The sequence below is a fragment of the Homo sapiens genome, chromosome 8 (genome assembly GCF_000001405.40).
Source record: "Homo sapiens chromosome 8, GRCh38.p14 Primary Assembly".
NCBI classification, from domain to species: Eukaryota; Metazoa; Chordata; class Mammalia; order Primates; family Hominidae; genus Homo; species Homo sapiens.
This window is the reverse complement of record NC_000008.11, coordinates 143530861-143548226: the sequence shown is the minus strand read 5'-3', so window position 1 is coordinate 143548226 and position 17366 is coordinate 143530861. Positions and strand designations below refer to the sequence as shown.

Below are 17366 nucleotides of genomic sequence, written 5' to 3'. Positions count from 1 at the left end.
ACAACTCTAAGGGGTCCCCGTGAAAGGGTCATGATAGCTCAAGTAAGCGTGAGGAACGTGACTGGGGGCTACATACATCAGCTCACAGAACAAAAAGTTTCACAGTGCTTTCTCATACAATGTCTGGAATTTACAGGTAACACCAGTAGTTTTGGTCAGGGGTTATTATTATTATTATTTTTTGAGACGGAGTCTTGCTCTGTCACCTAGGCTGGAGTGCAGTGGCGCGATCTCGGCTCACTGCAAGCTCCGCCTCCTGGGTTCACACCATTCTCCTGCCTCAGCCTCCTGAGTAGCTGGGACTACAGGTGCCTGCAACCACGCCCCGCTAATTTTTTGTGTTTTTAGTAGAGACAGGGTTTCACCGTGTTAGCCAGGATGGTCTCGATCTCCTGACCCCGTGATCCGCCCGCCTCGGCCTCCCAAAGTGCTGGGATTACAGGCGTGAGCCACCGCGCCTGGCCTAATGTTATTATTATTATTTTAACTACCAGGGCCAGGTGGTGGCGCCAAGGTCGTCTCGCTATTTATCTTACTTCTGTTTCTTTCCAACTTTTTGCTTTCTCCCTTTTCTCCTGTCTTATAAACTAGGGAAAAGGGGAGGTGGGGGAGAAGCTGGGAAGGACAACAGGAGAAGTGGTGGTCTCATTCCAACACCGAGATGGTGATGAAAGCGACCTCTGTTCATCCTTACGGCTCACTGTGCCCTCATTGCAACACGTTAGCATACTACGGGAAATTCCCGCCGGCACCATGATGGTTTACAAACGCCAGTATCTTCCGCAAGTTACTCTATGTGGTCTGAAAGGGGGAGGACAATCCGTTCCAGGAACTCCCCACCCCTTTCCTGGAAAACTCATGAGTAATCCACTGCTGGTTCAGCACATAATCAAGAAATGATCATAACAAGAGTCAGTCAAGCAGCCCACACTGCTACTCTGCTGTCGATAGCCACCCATTTATTCCTTTCCTGTTTTTATTTATTTATTTATTTATTTTGAGTCGGAGTCTCGCTTTGTCGCCCAGGCTGGAGTGCAGTGGCACCAATCTCGGCTCACTGCAACCTCCGCCTCCTGGGTTCACGCCATCCTCCTGCCTCAGCCTCCCAAGTAGCTGGGACTGCAGGTGCCTGCCACCACGCCCGGCTAATTTTTGTATTCTTAGTAGAGATGGGGTTTCACCATGTTAGCCAGGCTGGTCTCAATCTCTTGACCTCGTGATCCGCCCATCTTGGCCTCCCAAAGTGCCGGGATTACAGGCGTGAACCACCAGCCTGGCCTTCCTTTACTTTCTTAATAAACTTGCTTTCATTTTCGTCTACCGGCATGCTCTTAAGTTCTCTCCTGTGGCCGGGTGCGGTGGCTCACACCTGTAACCCCAGCACTTTGGGAGGCCAAGGCAGGCGGATCATAAGGTCAGAAGATCAAGAACATCTTGGCCAACATGGTGAAACCCTGTCTCTACTAGAAACACACAAACTAGCCAGGCGTGGTAGCGTGCGCCTGTAGTCCCAGCTACTCTGGAGGCTGAGGCAGGACAATCACTTGAACTCGGGAGGCAGAGGTTGCAGTAAGCCGGGATTGCACCACTGCACTCCAGCCTGGGCAACAAGGGCAAAATTCTGTCTCAAAAAAAAAATTATTTCCTATGTGAAGCCAAGAACCCATGTGGCCTCCCGGGCTGAGCCCCCATTTGGGGATTTTCCCTGTGACACACAGACACACAGTCAGCTGTCTTCCTTTCTTTTTCCTTTCTTTCTCTTTCTCTCTCGCTTTCTTTTTCTGAGACAGGATCTTGCTCAGTTGCCCAGGCTGGAGTGCAGTGGTGTGATTGTAGCTCACTGCAGCCTCAACCTCCTGAGCTCAACCACTCCTCCCATCTCTGCCTCACTAGTAGCTGGGACTACAGGCACGCACCACCATGCCCAGCTGATTTTTGGTATTTTTTTGTAGAGACAGGGTTTCACTAGGTTACCCAGGCTGGTCTTGAACTCCTGGGCTCAAGTGATCTGCCTGTCTGGATCTCCCAAAGTGCTGGGATTCCAGGCATGAGCCACCGTTCCTGGCCCAGCTGTTATCTTGCTGTTATCACGTGGTGGATGTTATATATAAAGTTTCAGTGCCGCAAAAGAACTAGCACTCCAATATCACATTTTCCTTTTAATTCTCATCAAGGCAAGATACTTCTATAGAAGGGTGCACCCTTACAGATGGAGCAATGGTGAGCACACATCTGGACACGGGAGGGGAAGTGGTTCTTATCCCTGACGCAAGTGGTCCCTGTTGCTGTGTTGTTCCCCTATTAGCTAGCGTTAGACCGCACAGGCTAAATAATTCCGATTGGCTGATTTAAAGAGAGTGATGGGGTGAGTGGTTTGGCGGGAAAAATGGGTATGACAGAGCAGGTAACTGGAATGAGTCAGGGTGGAGCAGGTAATCGGAAAATGTTGCTTTATGAGGAAGTTTAAAAGTAGGAGGTAACGAACTGAACATATTGACATATTGATTCTTTGAAAAGAAATTTAGAACTCACATCTAACAGTGGAGAAAAAAGAGAGGTAGTCTCTGGCTGCTGCTGTTTTTTTTGAGATAGAAATCCGCCCTGTCACCCAGGCGGGAGTGCAGTGGCATGATCTCAGCTCACTACAACCTCTGCCTCCCTGGTTCAAGCGATTCTCCTGCCTCAGCCTCACGAGTAGCTGGGATTACAGGCACCCGCCACCATGCCCGGCAATTTTTTTTTTTTTTTTTTTTTGAGACAGAGTCTTGCTCTGTCGCCCAGGCTGGAGTGCAATGGCGTGATCTCGGCTCACTGCAAGCTCCACTTCCTGGGTTCAAGTGATTCTCCTGCCTCAGTCTCCCAAATAGCTGGGACTACAGGCATGTGCCAACATGCCTGGCTAATTTTTATATTTTGAGTAGAGACGGGGTTTCACCATGTTGGCCAGGCTGGTCTTGAACTCCTGACCTCAGGTGATCCACCTGCCTTGGGCCTCCCAAAGTGCTGGGATTACATACAGGTGTAAGCCACTGCGCCCGGCCACAATGTCTCAATGTCTGCTTTTTTTTTTTTTTTTTTTTTTTTTTTGAGACAGAGTCTTGCTCTGTCACCCAGGCTGGAGTGCAGTGGCACCATCTCAGCTCACTGCAACCTCCGCCTCCTGGGTTCAAGCGATTCTCCTGCCTCAGCCTCTTGAGTAGCTGGGACTAAAGGTGCGTGCCACCATATCTGGCTAATTTTTGTATTTTTAGTAGAGATAGTGTTTCACTACGTTGGCCAGGCTAGTTTCGAACTCCTGACCTCGTGATCCACCCACCTTGGCCTCCCAAAGTGCTGGGATTACAGGCGTGAGCCATCGCGCCTGTCCTGTCTGCTTCTTATAGGGCACTAGTCCCATTCACGAGGGCTCCACTCTCATGACCTAACCACCTTCCAGAGGCCCCACTTCCTGATTCTATCAGATTGACGGTTTGGATTTCAACAGATGAATTTAGCATGTGGGGGCACAAACATTCTGTTCTCAGTGCTCTGCATGTGCTGCTCATGGTCCGGCAGGCCAGTCCCGGCTGTCACAAGGTAGTGGTCACAAGAGTCTCAAGGGAAACGAGACAGGGCTAGTCCACTGCACAACTGCTCATCAAGCCCCATGGTGGGAAATTTCATCCCATTCATTCTCAGAGTCCTCTCATGGTCACCCATGTCCTGGCACATAGGTCACTCCAGAGTCACCCATGGGCTTGTCTCCAGGCCACTCGCAGGCTGCCTGGAGGGAGAGAGGCAGAAGCTCTAGCCAAGTGTTCAGCTGGGAGAGTTGCAACGGGAGAGGAGGAGGATGAGGAGGGAGGATAGACAGGACTGGGTGGTGCTTGGATGGGGTCTGCAAGGCAGCAGGAAGCAAAGATGGTTTCACATGGATTCCGCCTCTCCTAGATCCATCTGGGCTAGGTGGGACTCCTGGCTGGGGCTCCCATGGCCTGAGTCAGCCTGTTCTACTGCCTGGACTTCCCAGCCTCCATTCATTCACTCTTCTGCTCGGGGAGCCAGCCCTCTCCAGCCAGCAAGCTGCCTTTGCTGCTGCCGCTAGAGAAGCCCTCACAGTGCCCATCACTGTATGTGAGGTGGAGTGACACTAGCCTCGCTAGTGCTGGCCTTGGGAGCAGGACAGAGGCGGGCTGGGTGGAGGCTGTGGACTGCGTCCTTACCTGCGTGCACAGGTGTCTCCTCAGAAGCACCATGCACGGGAGTCCTCTGCGTCACTGTTGCCATGTGTCTCACGTCTACATATGTTAGAAACCTTGGTATCTTATTTTTGCTGCAGCTACTTGTTTTAGAGAAAAGAGAAAACATTTTCATTTCCTAACACACTTCTCATTTCCTATACTCTTTCTTCTTGTAGATCTGAGTCTCCATATTGTATCCTCTTCAGCCTGAAGAAATTTATTTATTTATTTATTTATTTATTTTGAGATACAGTTTCACTCGTCGCCTAGGCTGGAGTGCAATGGTGCGATCTTGGCTCAGTGCAACCTTGGCTTCCCGGGTTCAAGTGATTCTCCTGCCTCAGCCTCCTGAGTAGCTGGGATTACAGGCGCCCCCCCACCACGTCCAGCTAATTTTTGTATTTTTAATAGAGACAGGGTTTCACCATGTTGGTCAGGCTGGTCTCTAACTCCTGACCTCAGGTGATCCACCCACCTCAGCCTCCCAAAGTGCTGGTACAGAACCTTAAGAAGGGCTTTGCAGTCTCAAAAAAAAAAAAAAAGGGTCTCGCTCCGCCAGTCTCCTGTCTCAGCCTCCCGAGTAACTGGGACTACAGGCACCCACCACAATGCCCAGCTAATTTTTGTATTTTTAGTAGCGGCGGGGTTTCACCGTGTTAGCCAGGATGGTCTCGATCTCCCGACCTTGTGATCCGCCCGCCTCGTCCTCCCAAAGTGCTGGGATTACAGGCATAAGCCACTGCGCCCAGCCCAGCCTAGCCATTTTAACGTGTACAATTCAGTGGCATTATTACCGTCATAATTTTGTGTAACCATCACCACTACTTCCAAAACTTTTTCATCACTCCAAACAGAAAGCCTACACCCATTAAGCAACATTTCTCCATTCCTCCTTATCCCAGCCACTGAAACTCTAATCTACCTTCTGTCTCTAGGAATCTGTATTCTAGATACTTCATGGAAGTGGAATCACACAAGATTTGTCTTTTAGTGACTGGCTTATTTTACAAAGCACAGTGTTTTCAAGGTTTATCCATGGTGTATCCTGTGTTAGAATTTCCTTCTTTTTTTCCTTTTATTTTTTTTTTGAGGCAAAGTCTAGCTCTGTCGCCCAGGCTGGAGTGCAGTGGCTTGATCTTGGCTCATTGCAACCTCCGCCTCCTGGGTTCAAGCGATTCTTCTGCCTCAGCCTCCTGAGTAGCTGGGACCACAGGTGTGCGCCACCACGCCTGGCTAATTTTTTATATTTTTAGCAGAGACGGGGTTTCACCATGTTGACCACGCTTGTCTCAAAACTCCTGACCTCGTGATCCGCCCGCCTCAGCCTCCCAAAGTGCTAGGATTACAGGCGTGAGCCACTGCGCCCGGCCGAATTTCCTTCCATTTTAAGGCTGAAAAATATTTCATTGTTTGTATGGATCACATTTTGTTTATCCTTCCATCCACCCGTGGACACTTGGGTTGTTTCCGTCTTTTGGCTATTGGGAAAAATGCTGCAGTGAACATGGGGGCACAAATATGTTTGAGTCTCTGGTTTCCATTCTTTTGGGAATATAGCCAGAAGTAGGGTTGCTGGATCATACCGTAGTTCCATTTTTGTTTTCTCCTAGAAAGGCAGATTGCCACATGCAGCGCCTCATTTGGATGTGTCTGGAATCTTGACTACCCTACCTTCTCCTACAAATGGACCTTGAGAGCTTGTTTGGAGGTTCTACCAGGGAAGCCCAGCTCTTCTATTGGGTATGGTCGTTCTCTTCGACTGAGCTGCAGCTTCGGGAGGGACGCACATGAAGCAGTGAGGAAGGAAGGGGACACCCGCCTAGCCAGCCAGATCAGCCGAATCAACCCTGGCGATCAATGGGATGACAGGTGTCGCAGCCAGATCGCCCTCATATCCGGTAGTTCTACTTTTAACCTTTTGTGGAATCTCCATAGTTTTCTGCGGTGCTGCGCCATTTACATTCCCACCAACAGCGCACAGAGGTTTACACTTGTACATGTTTCCAATGACGAACTAAAAACTTTCATGTTTTCAGAGGTTCAACATGTCTATCCAGGGAACCTTGCTCTCCGATGTCTTCTCCTCTGGCCACAGTAAGAGGTTTCACAGACCCTCCTGGGTCAAGAGTAATTGTTAACTGGCCCTTCTCCCATGGGTCCCCGCGTAGACCCCCCCCCCCCCAACACTCAACTGGGGCGAAATGAAACGCAGGGACTGTGGGAAGGAACTGCGGTATGGGCTGGGTGGGCCCCAGGTCTCGCCCCTCGCCAAGTCTCCCAAGGGGACGCGATCCCGGACTGCACAAGCTGGGCCCGCGCGGCCTCCCAGAGCCCAAGCAGTCCCTTCCCAGCCGTTACCAGGCCACTTCCCGGCGCTCACTAGTGACGTCCCCGCCTCGTTCTGCGCGTGCGCGGCTCTGCCTCTCCGCTGCCGTTGTCAGCGCGACGGCGGGTCCTCGGCGGTCGGCAGACATCCGGGCCTGCTCCTGGCAGCTCCGCCCTGGCCCGCTCCGCCCCGCCCGCGGGAAAAAGGTCGCGTAGCGATGACGTCGTGGGGGCCTGGCCGGCCGTCGCGGACTCGGGAGATGGAGGAAAAGGAGATATTACGGCGGCAGATCCGCCTACTGCAGGGTAGGTCCGGCCGGGGCCGGGACGCGAGTCCCCTTCTTTCCCCCTCACCTCGCGGCGGGTCCCCTGCCCCCTTGTCGAAGGGGTCGCTCACCGCCCGCGTGTTCTGGGTGGCGGCTGGGGTGGGGGACGGTAGGGTCCGCCAGGACTTGTGGGCCGGCTCAGGGCCCGGGTCAGTCCCCGGCTCCAGCTTTGTCGAGGGAGTGGTGCCGGCCCTGCTGGGGCTGCAGAGGGTGGAGGCAGGGCCGTCGCTTAGTAACCCGCGGGGGGCGGCGGCCCTCCCCACCACCGCGGGCTGTCGCGTCCCCCGGCGCCCACTCTCTCCCCGCGCCCCACTGCGGGGCTGGGACTAGTTCATGGCTCATTTCGGCAGAGCAGGCTAAGGGCGCACGCGGGTTCCTTCCTTGACGCCCGGTTTTTTTTGAGACAGAGTCTTGCTCTGTCACCCAGGCTGGGGTGCGGTGACGCGATCACGGCTCACTGCAATCTCCTCATCCTGGGTTCGAGTGATTCTCCTGCCTCAGCCTCCGGAGTACGTGGGATTACAGGTAGGCGCCAGAACGCCTGGCTAATTTTTGTATTTTGAGTAGAGACGGGGTTTCACCATGTTGGCCAGGATGGTCTCTAACTCCCGACCTCAGGTGATTCACCCGCCTCGGCCTCCCAAAGTGCTGGGATTACAGGCATGAGCCACCGCTCCCAGCCTCGACGCCCGGTTTTGATGCCCCTTTTCTCCGAACAGTCACACTCCCCTTGCCATTCCAGGCGCAGACTGAACAGGCTTCAGCTTCCACACTTAAACATTAAAAAACCCAAATTGGTCTTTCTAAACTTAAAAAGAAAATCCATGTTCGGACGCAGTGGCCCACACCTGTAATCCCAGCACTTTGGGAGGCTATGGCAGGAGGATGGCTTGAGCCCGGGAGTTTGAGACCATCCTGGGCAACATGACGAGAGCCCGTCTCTACAGAAAAATTTTAAAAAGTGAGATGGGCGTGGTGGCTTGCGCCTGTAGTCCCAGCTACTCAGAGGTGGAAGGTTTGCTTGTGCCCTGGAGGTCCCGGCTGCAGTGAGCCGTGATTGGGCCACTGCACTCCAGCCTGGGCAACAGAGAAAAACCACATCTCAAATAAAAAGCCAAAACCAACCAAACAAAAAAAAGCTTTAAAAATTAAAAATCCTTTTTGCTTTTACTCTCACAAAGGGAAGACTTAAGGATTGGGAAAGTGTGTATGGATAAGAGGCCAGGTGGGCTGCCTCCCACTTGGGGACACTTCTTGAGCTCCCATCACACCTGCTCTGGGGCGTCAACACGTCTGGACGTGGCTTTCTGTGCCCCCGGGGGCAGGGCCTGTGGTGGGGGAATGCTGATAACTGGGAGGCTGGCTGCTGCCGCCCTTGCCTGTGTTCCTGGCCCTCCTGCACCGGGGTAGCTATCCAGGGACTTATTTGGAAAGTCCTGTGGTTGTGTCAGTTCACTGCAGTAGGACTCTAGCCCATTGATGTTTCCTCTTCTGCAGGGAAGACTATGAATCTGGCAGAGCAATGGCCTCTGCTCCTAGTATTCTTTTTTCCTGTTGTCAGGCATGGGGTCCTCGAGAGTGTCAGTTCTGTTACACTCAGTGGAGTGACTCCTTTCCATCTGTAGGCAAGCCAGAGGGCCTGTGCGGCCACTTGTCCCCTCTGATTCAAACAGTGCAGAGGGGATCATTGCGATTCTCTTCAGACTGAGTGACACGTCTCAGCAAATGACTGTGGACTCAGTAGACCAGCAAATAAGGCTTGTTACACCACACGGTTCATTTCTGTGTGAAGCAGGCAGAAGTAGGACTGAAGTGGAGCTGATGGAGAAAAGGCTCATAGAAGCGACAGGCCCAGGTGACGCGGGCTGAGTTGTCAGTGAGTCCCAGGCTCTGGGGGCTGCCCCTCCTGAAACTGGCAGGGGCTCAGAAGTGAGATGGGATCTGGGGGTATCTTGCCAGCTGATGCCCTTCCAGGGTAGTCATGATTATCGCGGTTACCCTCTGGCTAACTGGGCCTGTGGTTCTGTCTTCTCAGGTCTGATTGATGACTACAAAACCCTCCACGGCAATGCCCCGGCCCCTGGTACCCCAGCAGCTTCTGGGTGGCAGCCACCCACTTACCACAGTGGCAGAGCCTTTAGTGCCCGCTACCCTCGTCCAAGCCGGAGGGGCTACTCTTCCCACCATGGGCCTTCGTGGCGCAAGAAATACTCCCTCGTGAATCGGCCCCCGGGACCCTCAGACCCTCCTGCCGACCATGCTGTGCGGCCGTTGCACGGGGCCCGGGGGGGCCAGCCTCCTGTCCCGCAGCAGCATGTCCTTGAGAGACAGGTCCAGCTCAGTCAGGGTCAGAACGTGGTCATCAAAGTTAAACCGCCATCAAAGTCTGGCTCTGCCAGTGCCTCAGGGGCCCAGCGGGGCTCTTTGGAAGAATTTGAGGAAACCCCCTGGAGTGACCAAAGGCCCCGGGAAGGTGAAGGTGAGCCCCCTCGGGGACAGCTGCAGCCCTCGAGGCCAACAAGAGCCAGGGGGACCTGCAGTGTGGAAGATCCTCTTCTGGTCTGCCAGAAGGAGCCTGGTAAGCCCAGGATGGTGAAGTCAGTGGGCAGTGTGGGCGACAGCCCCCGGGAGCCCCGCCGGACAGTCAGTGAGAGTGTGATTGCCGTCAAGGCGAGCTTCCCATCCTCCGCTCTGCCCCCACGCACTGGCGTGGCCCTGGGCCGGAAGCTGGGTTCTCATTCCGTGGCCAGCTGTGCTCCACAGCTCCTTGGGGACAGGAGAGTAGATGCTGGCCACACAGATCAGCCAGTTCCGTCTGGCTCAGTGGGGGGCCCCGCCAGACCGGCCTCAGGACCCAGGCAGGCCCGGGAGGCCTCGCTGGTTGTGACCTGTCGAACTAACAAGTTCCGGAAAAACAACTACAAATGGGTGGCTGCCTCCTCGAAGAGTCCCCGGGTTGCTCGGAGGGCCCTCAGTCCCAGAGTGGCTGCAGAGAATGTGTGCAAGGCCTCTGCTGGCATGGCAAACAAGGTGGAGAAGCCGCAGCTCATAGCTGACCCAGAGCCCAAGCCCAGGAAGCCAGCCACGTCCTCCAAGCCAGGGTCTGCCCCCAGCAAGTACAAGTGGAAGGCCTCCAGCCCCTCTGCCTCCTCCTCTTCCTCCTTCCGTTGGCAGTCGGAGGCCAGCAGCAAGGACCATGCCTCCCAGCTCTCCCCAGTCCTGTCTAGGTCCCCGTCGGGGGACAGACCAGCAGTAGGACACAGTGGCTTGAAGCCCCTCTCTGGGGAGACCCCGCTCTCGGCTTACAAAGTGAAGAGCCGCACCAAGATCATCCGGAGACGCAGCAGCACAAGGTGGGCATCCCGGCCGGCTGCGGTAGAGTGTGAGGGGCTGTGAGGAGGGTTTGTTTGGCACCCCTAATGGATCTGCTGAGCTCGGAGCTTTGCCTGCAGTTGCGTTCACATTTCCAGCAAGAAATGAGGCAGGAAGTGCTGCTGTGGTGGTTTGGGCTTGCCTGGGGCCGGGGCCCTGGCCGGCATAAACTTAGGGGACAGGTTTCCCGTCCCTCACACTGCTGGCAAGCCCATCCTTTCTCCTGCCGGTGAGAGACAAGCAGCTCGCTGGGGGCAGCTTCCGTTCCAGTTGCACAGGGTTCACAGAGGGAAGGCTTTGTGCCAGGCCAGGCGCAGGGGGAGTAGCTCCCAGGGACCAGTCCAGGGTCCATGTGTCCCCAGGGGGATGGTGAGACAGAGAGCAGTGTGTCTGCCCCTGGCCTGGACCTGCCGGCCACGGGTCTGTGCTGGGAGGTGGACCAGAGCTCTGGGCCCTGCCAGGGGTGCCTGGTCTTTCCTGCATGCCCCGTGTCTAGGGCTTGGGCTCCAGGAGGCCTGGCCTTTGCTGGCCCTCAGGCTGAGGGCTGCTCCAGCTGGTCTGAGTGGGCAGGGGCCGGGGGCTGCTGGTAGGCGGGAGCCTCCTTAGGCATTCCTGGCTTTGGGCTCTGTGGCCTCCCTTGCGGAGTGTTGAGGCTGCAGTTGGCCTTTGGTCCCAGGGCGAGCAGATTGGTGTTAGGTCCCAGCCCCCTTGGCCAGGCAGCCAGGCAGAGTCACTCACTTGCTTGGCGCACATCTCTCCCGGCCTCCACCCTTGCGGACTTGTGATGAGACTCAGAGATGGTGTCATGGCACAGTGCTTGGTCTGGGCTCAGGGACTCCATGAGGTTGGCAGCTAAGGTGGTGGCTGCACCTGCTGGGCAGAGGGCGGGGGTCCTGCCTCTGTCATCAGACACAGTGGTGCCCTGCCGTCTGGTCTAGGTTGCTGGCTCGTGTAGCTCATTCTCTCTGGCCCTCGTCCCCCAGATAGGTGCCGTGTTGAGGCGCATGGGCACCCGGCTCCCACTCCTGGCTGTTTCTCGGTGGCAACTCTGCTCTAAACCATGCTGGCAGCTCCCTCTGTCCAGGAAGTGTGGAGAGGGAGCGTGGAGAAGCTGCCCCCTTACTGAGGGGCTTGGCAGGCCACTTGGGGCCGGTGGCCGCTCTCCTCAGGGATGTCGGCCCTTCTCTTTGCCCCACGTAGAGGCTCCTTTTTCCTGGGCAGATGGGGAGGGGGTGGACATGCGGGTGGGGACGGAGCACTGAGGCCCCTCTGCTCTCCCTGGGAGCATGGCAGCCTGCCCTAGTTCTGGGGTCATCTGGGATTGTGGATCCAAGCCTGCCGCCTCAGCCTGGCTGTGGAGGGTGGGCAGGGCCGCCATGGGCTGAGGGAGGCAGGGTCCAGAAAGGACCCGCTGTGGCCTGGTCCTGGCCTTCAGGAGCTGCTCCCACGCTCCTCGGGTCCTGGTGAGGAAGGGTGGGTGGGCAGAACCCCCAGGGCTTGTTGAGAGCTGCCTGTATTTTGTCTCCACAGCCTTCCTGGAGACAAGAAAAGCGGCACCTCACCTGCCGCCACCGCCAAGAGCCACCTCAGCCTCCGGCGGAGACAGGCCCTCAGGGGGAAGAGCAGCCCTGTCCTGAAGAAGACCCCCAACAAGGGCCTGGTACAGGTCACCACGCACCGACTATGTCGCCTGCCACCGAGCCGGGCCCACCTCCCCACCAAGGAAGGTATGCTGGGAGCAGGGGCGCTGGGCACTGGGGCTGGGCCTGCCTGATGGGATATGCTGGCGTGTTAGGAGCCATGGGCACCTTCCCTGCCTCATGCTGGTAGAGGCCCTGGCTGGGAGGGCACTGCCTGGCAGACGGTGGTGGTGGGCTGGCAGATAGAGGATAGGGCCCGGATGCTGCGCCCTGCAGTCTGGCTGTGGGATGTGCTGCTGGGCAGGTGCTGTGGCCTCTTCTGTGTGTCCCTTGGTATGGACCCAGCTGTGTCCCTCCTGAGGGAGGAGAGGGCGGCGGCTGCTGAGCCCTTAAGCAGGGGTGAAGCCCTCGCTTGTGCTGCGCTGGGCACCCCCAGGCCTCTGCCTCCTCCAGGGCCCTTCTGTGCTCAGCTGGCTGGGGCTGCAGGTCTACCTGCCCTGCCCTTTCTGAGTGTCACATGGTACTGTGTGAGTTTTTTGAGTGGCCTGAAAGAATTGGTCTGGTCTCCTGCTGTACCACTCTAAGTGTGCCCAGTCACGCCTGGAGAGAACTGGTCTGAGCCCCTGAGAGCCCCTGTGGTGGCCTGGGAAGGCCCCGGCCTGCAGATTGTGGGGCGTAGCCCCTTTGAGGTTGACCCCCACTGCGGTGATGTTTGCCAGGACACACTGGGGGAGCGGCCTCCAGGCGGGCACGTGGTTGGGGGTATGTGGTGAGGGTCTAGAGCCCTTGGGTGTGGCACCCCCCAGACACCGTGGGGGTCAGTGTGGAGCCACGTTCGTCTGTGTGCACCTGGTCCTGTGCGACTCTGGGGCTCTGCTGGGCGCGTTAGGGCAGTGACTTCCCGAGCTCGTGTCTGTGACATCTGGAGAAGGTGGGGCGTTGGGGATTGAGCAGGCTTGGACCTGGGCACTCCGACTGGGAACCGGTGCTCAGAAATCTAGCCAAGGCTGGGCGCGGTTGCTCATGGCTGTAATCCCAGCTCTTTGGGAGGCCAAGGTGGGAAGATCACTTGAGGCCAGGAGTTCAAGACCAGCCTGGGCAACATGGCAAAACCCCATCTTTACCAAAAATACAAAAATTAGCTGGGCATGGTGGCACATGCCTGTAATCCCAGCTACTCGGGAGGCTGAGGGAGGAGAATTGCTTGAGCCTGGGAGGTTGCAGTGAGCCGAGATCGTTCCATTGCATTCCAGTCTGGGCGACAGAACGAGACTCTGTCTCAAAAAAAAAAGAAACCCAGCCAAGCGTACCGTCATCTAGGGAGGCTTCAGACGGCTCTGGAAGGAGCTGGGCCTGGGCAGACCCAAGAGCCGTGTGGGGGCTGCCGCGGGAGGGCAGGGCGTTGGGTCCCAGGTGGAGGGCTGAATGGGGCGATGCAGCCGGGTGTTGCAGCACAGTGGGGTGGGAGGAAGTGGGGCTGGGGGCGCTGGTCGGCTGTACCCCGTTAGCCGACACCTGCTGCACGCCAGGACATGTGGATTTCATCCTGGTGACAGGGAGCAAGCAGAGACCCATGCGGTCCCTGGTGGCCACAGTGAGGTGGCCGGATGGTGGTTAGGTCGTGGGCTTATCTGGGAGTGGATGGTAGGGGTGGCTTGGACAGTTGGCGGTATCCCCTGGTCACTTGGGGAGGAGGGGTTGGGGAGGTGTCCAGCTCTGGGAGGCCAGCAGGGTCTGCTGAGCCCTAGGAGGCCAAGGCTTGCAGATGGCGTGGTGGTTGGGGTGAGAGGCTCCCCACTGGGTGCAGGTTCAGCCCTGCTCACCTGGCCTGCTCCCTCTTCAGGCCTCTAGTAGAGTGGGGCATAGGCAGGGGATGGGGGAGGTTGCTTCCTGCTGGTGGGGCCTTGCTCGGCGCCCCCCGGACTCCTGCCAGGAAGAGTGGGTTTGGGAGGCCACCAGCTTCACCGGCTGACCATTTCGGAGTGCACAGCTGAGGGGCTGCTGCGGTCCTGCCTCACTAGAGGGAAGGGCGTAATTGATCTCGTCGTTTTTTTTTTTTTTTTTAATGTTTTTAGAAACAGGGCCCTGCTTCCCTCCCAGGCCAGAGTACAGTGGTGCAGTCACAGCTCATTGCAGCCTCAACCTCCTGGGCTCAAGTGACCCTGCTGAATAGCTGGGACTACAGGTGCATGTCACTGTGCCTGGCTAATTTTTAATTTTTTTGTAGGGACAGGGTCTTGCTTTGTTGCCTAGGCTGGTCTTGAACTTCTGGGCTCAAGTGATCCTCCTGCCTTAGTCTCTTAAAGTGCTGGGATTACAGGTGTGAGCCACTGTGCCCAGCCAAACTCATAGTTAAAGACCAACGTGAGGCTGGGCGTGGTGGCTCATGCCTGTAATCCCAGCACACTGGGAGGCCGAGGCGGGTGGATCACCTGAGGTCAGGAGTTCAAGACCAGCCTTGGCAACATGGCAAAACCCCGTCTCTACTAAAAATACAAAAATTAGCTGGGTGTGGTGGCGAGCGTCTGTAATCCCATCTACTCGGGAGGCTGAGGCAGGAGAATCACTTGAACCCAGGAGGCAGAGGTTAGATCGTGCCATTGTACTCCAGCCTGGGCGACAGAGTGACATTTTGTCTCAAAAAAAAAAAAAAAAAAAGACCAGCGTGGCGGCTGCATGGAGTGAGAGGAGAGGGTCCTGTCTGAGGAAGGGGTGGGGAAGGCGTCCCACTCACTTGCCCACCACTGGCCCAACTGGCAAGCGTGGTTGAGTCACTGTGCCTGGCAGCCTGCCGGCTCCTGGGGATACTGCAGTGAAGGTGAAGAGATGATGAGGCTGGAGCCGCCTTCCAGTGGTGGAGACAGGCAGCCACTGGAGTGCTTGTACATCAGCCAGGAAGGTGCTCCTGGGTGGAAAATGCCTTCTGAGGAACAGGCAGGGGGAGAGCACAGGGCCAGCTGCAGAGAGGTGGTTGGCGAGTGGGAGGGCTTCTCTGAGGAGGTGACCTGAGCAGAGAGGAGCGAATAGGGCTCAGCTCTGAGGCCGAGGTGGAGGTGGGAACGAGCTTACTGTGTTCTGGAGCACAAGGAGGCTGTGGGGCCAGTTCACCATCTGGGAGTGTGGCTTGGAGGGGATGCAGCCAACGGGGCAGAGGGACCAGGTCCTGGGAAAGGGTCTTGTAGGCCACAGGAGGGAACGGGGGGTTGGTTCTGGTTACGTTGGGAAGCCAGGGAGGGACAGGGGAGGACCCTGGGAGGGGCGTGTCCAGGGCCCCGGGGTGTCTGGCAGGCCCGAGTGGGCAGAGTCGGGAGGACCTGTGCGTGAGGCCACTGACGCCAGGCCAAGGAGCGGAGTCCGCAGGCTCTCAAGCAGGCAGGGAGCCCGTGGAGATGTGCGCGGAGGTGAGAGGCCGAGCCTGCGTCCTGGCCTGGTCACTCAGGCGGCTGACCCCAGAGACAGCCACCGTGAGACTCCAAGCTGGCCGCAGGGGAGGTGGGCGTGGCCAGGGCGTCTGCTGAGGAGATGGGAGGCTGGGGCCCAGGAAGCTGTTGAGTGGCTCCCCCAGGTGCCCTCCTGCAAGGCCCACCGTCTCCATGCCTGCCTGCCTGCCTAGGAACTGAGGCCTGCCTGTCCTCTGCCTTGGCCAGTGGGCTTCTGGGCAGGGCCCAGCTTTGTTTCGTTGAACGCTGCAGTGCTCTGGTGAGCCAGTGAGCCCTTCCCAGGCCCTCCTTCAGCCCTCCCGGGTGGCCAAGGCCTCCATCGGCTGGGGTGTTCGTTCCTGGATGCTGGGGTCGTGTGGGCTGTGGATGGGGCAGCCAGGTGGGACTGCTCCTTCATTTGGCTGTTGGGAGTTTTCTTTCCCCATTTTCTGCCCAGCAAAAGCTTAGTTCCAGCTCCACCTCTCCTCTTCAAGGAGACGGCAGTGTCCCAGTGTCCAGCTGGGGACGACTGCCCTGTGGACTTATGCACCAGGGACAGGGGCTTCTGAAAGCTGCCAGGCAGCCCTGCTGCCGCCTCCCTCCCCCGCCGCACTTCAGCCTTGCCGTGCGGCCCAGTGGCCAGCAGAGGGCATGCTTGCCCCTCCTATCGCCTCCGTCCACCCTTTTTTGGTAATCGCGTAATTTCCTTTTTATGTGAAAGAAAGCAGATACCAAGTAATTTGCAGCAATAACCTGCTAATGCTGGGCCAGTATCGAAACTCCCCTGTTCATTTCAAGTGGCAGATAAAACGCTAATACATAATTATCCTTGCAAATTGGATTATTTTAAATAACCAAAAGGCTACGGCCAGGAGAAAGCGATCCCATCTCCCCTGAGTTACTATTGCAGCGTAATTGCCGCGTTCAATCAATTTCCCTGGCATTAGAAATTCCGTCACAATCAACATTAAGCTTTATTCATTGTGATGGCTAAGAGCCGGGCCATTTCTCCTCTTTTTCTTAACTGGCAAAATTAATCAGGGAAAAGATTTTAAACATTTACCCGTGCGAAAGAGGTCAGCCCTGCCACTATATTGCTCAGCAGATAAGGGGGCTAATAAAAAGAAAATTGAATTACTAATGATCACCAAGAACAGAGTATATAAAACCTGGCCATCGCCAGTTCAGGAAAAGGGAGAATCAATTTTCTTGGGACAAGGTGCGTTCATTTTTTATTTTGGCGCATATTATCAGCAATTTAATTTGAGAGGCATAAACAGGAGGAAACAGTTAGGGAATAATGAGCCTGGAGGTGTAAAGTGCCACAGGATATATGCTGTACACAATTTATTTGGCACAACAGATAATCGCTTTAATTGAATTCAAAAGTGCATTGTTCAGCAGCACTGTGGCCGCTCACGCCTGGGGACTGAGACTGTTTGGAAGGTTTCAGCCTGACTCTTCGGTGCCTCTCCTCCCCTCCCTGCCTCTCCCGGCCCTCCGAAGTCCTCTGGGCCTGGAGTCAGACCTCGGCTGGGGGCGGGGCAGGGGATTCCTGGGGGTCTCTTCCTCTGCTGTCAGTGTGCCCCTTGCCTTCCGTTTCTTCCTTCCCTTTTCTCCTGGGGATGGGTCTGTTGGCAGCTGGGGGATGAGGATGTGAGACACTGGCCGGGTGCCGAGGCTCATGCCTGGAATCCCAACACTTTGGGAGGCTGAGGCGGGTGATTACTTGAACCCAGGAGGTCAAGACCAGCCTGGGCAACGTGGCAAAACCCCATCTCTACAAAAAATGCGAGAATTAGCCGGGCATGGTGGCACACGCCTGTAGTCCCAGCTACTCGGGAGGCTGGGGTGAGAGGATTGCTTAGGTCTGGGAGGTTGAGGCTCTAGTGAGCCATGATCGCACCACTGCACTGCAACCTGGGTGACAGAATGAGACCCTGTCTCAAAAAAAAAAAAAAAAAAAAAGGAGATAGAAGACAGCCCCAGAAGGGTGGCCTGGGCGAGTAATGTTTGCTGGAGGCTGCAGTAGAGACCTGCCTGGGTTGATCTGTCTCTGGTGGA

At 56.2% G+C, this 17366-nt stretch overlaps 1 protein-coding gene and 1 pseudogene across 4 annotated transcripts in view; one reads left to right on the top strand and one right to left on the bottom strand.

Annotated features, from left to right (window-relative positions):
• RN7SKP175 (RN7SK pseudogene 175) lies at positions 5829-6117 on the bottom strand (annotated as a pseudogene).
• The window catches only part of ZC3H3 (zinc finger CCCH-type containing 3), a 103789-nt gene continuing 93202 nt past the window's right edge, over positions 6780-17366 (top strand). For all 4 annotated transcript variants that reach the window (XR_928313.4, NM_015117.3, XM_011516943.3 and 1 more), the window contains exons 1-3: positions 6780-6851; positions 8907-10224; positions 11774-11970. Coding sequence is in view for 3 of the 4 variants with exons in the window: in NM_015117.3 (NP_055932.2) it covers positions 6806-6851; positions 8907-10224; positions 11774-11970 (1561 nt within the window). In the remaining variant the exon portion in view is untranslated. The remainder of the gene's footprint in view (positions 6852-8906; positions 10225-11773; positions 11971-17366) is intronic.